Source organism: Homo sapiens, chromosome 6, assembly GCF_000001405.40.
Source record: "Homo sapiens chromosome 6, GRCh38.p14 Primary Assembly".
Taxonomy (NCBI): Eukaryota; Metazoa; Chordata; class Mammalia; order Primates; family Hominidae; genus Homo; species Homo sapiens.
Genome location: NC_000006.12, coordinates 110,359,226 through 110,363,280, shown reverse-complemented (window position 1 = coordinate 110,363,280; position 4,055 = coordinate 110,359,226). Strand labels below are relative to the sequence as shown.

The 4,055-nt window shown below is 39.0% G+C and overlaps 1 annotated feature.

The window, feature by feature from the left end:
* Positions 2,301-2,595: an enhancer, noted in NCBI's record as "tiled region #3191; HepG2 Activating DNase matched - State 8:EnhW". NCBI's record gives its function as "activates a minimal TATA promoter and a strong SV40 promoter by Sharpr-MPRA in HepG2 cells {active_cell/tissue: HepG2}" and the evidence as "EXISTENCE:reporter gene assay evidence [ECO:0000049][PMID:27701403]".

Genomic DNA, 4,055 nt, shown 5'->3' with positions numbered 1-4,055 from the left:
AGGAGAATAGGAGGAAACTAAAAATAAACTGTGCTTAGTTCATCCTTCTGTTAGGCGCTGGCTTAAGGCTATCCTTTGAGGTTTCCCAACAATAACAAAGGAATATTTGATGGCTTTAAATGGGATTAAAACAGCCTTTTTTGGTGGACTTAAAAATTAATGATAGAACTTCACACTGAAAGACTTATGATTTTGCCTTCATGTAGCATTCTACTCTTAAGAATTTAATGTGACAAAATAACTATGAATGCACACAGACTTGATTCATTCCTCACTCTTTAATTCAACAACTATTTATTGAGCATATACTACATGCCAGATACTGTTCTAGGCACCAGGATTATAGCAATAATCAATGGAAACAAAGTCCCTGACCTCGTGGAGCTTACATTCTAGTTGGGGAAGACATCATAAACAAGGCATTATGTTACCAAATCTCAGAGTCAGTTTCCAGTCCACATCTTATTAGACCTCTCAGTGTGTTCCTTCTAGAAATACTCTCTTCATTTGGTTTCTGGAACACCACATTCTCTTACCTTACTGCTTACCTATCTCAGTAGCCTTTGTTGGATGCTCATCTTCCTGACTTTAAACTGGTGAACCCCAGAACTAAGCCTTCAGATATTTCACACCTGTATGCTGACGATCCAGTTTTCTATTTCCAGCCCTCACCACTCCCCTGAATTTCAGTCTTTTAGATCCAACTGCCTATGCCACATCTCCATTTGTATGTCCAATAGGTTTCCCAAACTTAACGGGACTACCAAAATCTTACTGGATTTTCTACTCTAATTGCTCTTAGTTGAGTCTTTCCCTTCTCAGTTAACAGCAACTTAATTCTTCCAGTTACTCAGGAAAAAACCTCGGAATCATTCTTGACTTCTTTCTTTCTCTCACACTGCATATCTGCTCCATCAGATTTAGCTACAAAGATGTCCATCACAGCATTGTTTATAAAAATGAAAAACTGGTAATTATCCAACTGTTCGACAATGGAAGAATGGTTAATATGGTACATGTTGTAGTTAACAGGTTACTGTTTAAGGACATTTTCCATATGGAAAATTTCGTACATGCTCAAAAATAAAGAGCTGTGAACCCATCATCTAGCTACAACAATGATCAACTCACAGCCATTCTTGCTTCATTTTTACTCCCACTTCTCTCCCATCTCCCCACTAGATTGTTGTTAAGCAAATTCCAAACAACATATTATTTAATACATAAACTATATAACATATTATGTTACAAAAGCACATTATAAAGAAATATATATAATATGATTTCATTTTTGAAAACCATCTACATGTGTAGGATAGCTATATCTGAATCGTGTTATGAATGTTGGTATCTTCTTTTGCTTGTGTATATTTTCCACAGTGAGCATGTACACTGAGAAAAGGTGATGAGAGGATGGCGGATGTTGATGTCAGACATTCTAACTTCATTCTTTTGTAAATTTGATCACTTTAATTCAGACTGGGTGATATGGTTTGGATGTTTGTCTCCTCCAAATCTCATGTTGAAATGTGACTTCCAGTGTTGGAGGTGGGGCCTAGCGGGAGATATTGGATCATGGGGGTGGATCCCTCACGAATGGCTTAGCACTATCCCCCCTTTGTGATAAGCGAGTTCTTGCTCTATTAGTTCATGGGCGATCTGATTGTTTAAAAGAGGCTGGCAGCTCCTTCCTTTCTCTCTTGCTCCCATTCTCACCATGTGATGCACTGGCTCACCCTTTGCCTTCTGCCATGACTGTAAACTTCCTGAGGCCTCACCAAAAGCAGATGCTGGCACTATGCTTCATGTACAGCATGCAGAACCAAGAGCCAATTAAACCTCTTTTTGTTATACATTACTTAGCCTCAGGTATTTCTTTATAGTGACACAAAAAAGGACTAACACACTGGGTATGTCACATTGTGAGATATAAATAACCACTTGATGAAGGTGAGGATACTATCGGCTCTGTTTTCTCTTTGGACAGTCTATAATTTAAAATGACCACATTGGCATCTATAGTTACAGCAGGTTTTCTCAACTTAGGCTCTCCTGACATTCTGGGCTGGACAAGTCTTTGTTGTGGAAGGCTATCTTTTGCACTGGAGGAGGCTTAGCTGCATCCCTAGTCTAATAGGTAGCCATTAGACGCCAGTAGCATCCTCCAGTGGTAACAACCAAAAACATCTTCAGACATTGCCAAATGTCCCCTGGGAGGCAAAACCAACCCTGGTTGAGAATCACAGCACTACAGCAGGTGTCCAAGTTGAAATGCATGTTGTTTAGGAGATTAGAAATGTTCTGTTTCACACATTTTTCTGGCTAAAACCTCTAGGAGGATGTAATCTGTGATCTGATGAAAGCCGCTATTGTGGTTTACTGACCTGCTTGTTTAATTAACCAGCCTATGACACAGCGGTTAATGATTATCTGCATTTTTGAGACACATCCAGAAAGGACTGAGACAAGTTCAACTCTATAAGAAAAGCAAAGGTCGTGAATGAAAGATTGCTTGTCAGCTACAACAGTGATCCATTAGATTTGCCTCTTCAGCCCACAGACTGACCCATTTTACTATTCATTATCATCCACCACACAGGAAAACACTGTGTGGAAGTTAAAAATAGGTTTCTTCCAGAAAATTGATGCTACATACATATAAACGGTTCTTTTTTATTAGTAATAAACACATAGACATAAACACAACTGCAAAAGATAAAAGGCTATTTAAATATTCCATGTAATTTGAATTTTTTTCCATAATGAAAACATTTTATTAGAGAACTGTAGAAATGAGATAAAGGAAAATATGAGGTCATCCTGCCCATTCTCTTCAAGAGCTACACTGTTTTGTATGCACCCCCACTCCATCCTCCACCCCCAGCCCAGAGTCTTATTAAATATCCCCATTTTAATAATATAGGAGAGTGCTTATGCTTCCCCACCCACCCCCAGAGAGAAACTCAACAGAGGAGCAGAGGGTACGCACTAGTGGCACCATGATCTTCAAAATATGACTTCTCTAGTTAGCGGCACTGTGTTGACTGCATAGAAAATAAAACTTCCAGCAAAGTCTACATCAGACATTACCAATCCAGGTTTATCAAGCACCCTACAAACTCTGTCTTAAAGAGCCTTATACAACTTAACAGAGTTCGTTTCTTGATGATTAATTGTTATTTTCTTGAAATTATTGGGTACTCTGAATTCCAGAGAATGCTGTATAAATTATTTGTAAATTTCCTTATACTTTATCTTTGCCCACTTTGGAATCAATGCTTACCTTTTGTTTTTCATGACAACATCCAGGATTTTCTTCCATGGTAAATAACAAAATAATTACTATTGAGACCCTTCTGTGAGCCAGTATTATTTGGGCATGAAACATATAATATTTTATGCAACATTTATAATCCTGCCATATATATAGATCTGTTTATTCATGGGAAAACGGAAACTCAGAGAGGTCCAGTACTTCGTTGAAAGTCTCATAGTGCTTGAACGGCAGGGTCCTGGTTCAAACACAGTTCAAGTAAATAGTCACAGGATGTGAGGCTGGCTCTCAGTTTGTGTAAGGAAAAACTCGTACTTGTTTAAATTTGTTAAAATAGAACCCATCTGCAATATCCCCTGGACTCATCTAAGAAAAAAGCAAAAGTCAATCCTAATGGAACGTTCAGGAGCCTGAGGATCTGGTGTGGCCAGGGGGTGGACTAGACTGGGTGGAGATATTTTGTTACATGTAGAGAAACAGCCCAAGTGCTTTGTTCACTAGCAGGGAATAAATTGGGTCTTTCTTAAGCCAGGAAGAGAAGAGGATTTTAGAGACGAGGGCTTCCTACGGAAAATACCCAACATTCAAAAGGGCAGGGGGGTAGGGCCCCATATTTGTTCTCTCTTGTCCATGCTGTAGGCTGTTACGGGGGAAGAGGATAGGTCTACAGGCGCAGTCTCCCATGGAAGCATGGAAAATGCAAGAGTAAAGCAAGGAAAAAAAGAAAAGTGACTACAGCTTAAAAAAATCTAAACCCAAACTCAAACCTAAAACCCAAACC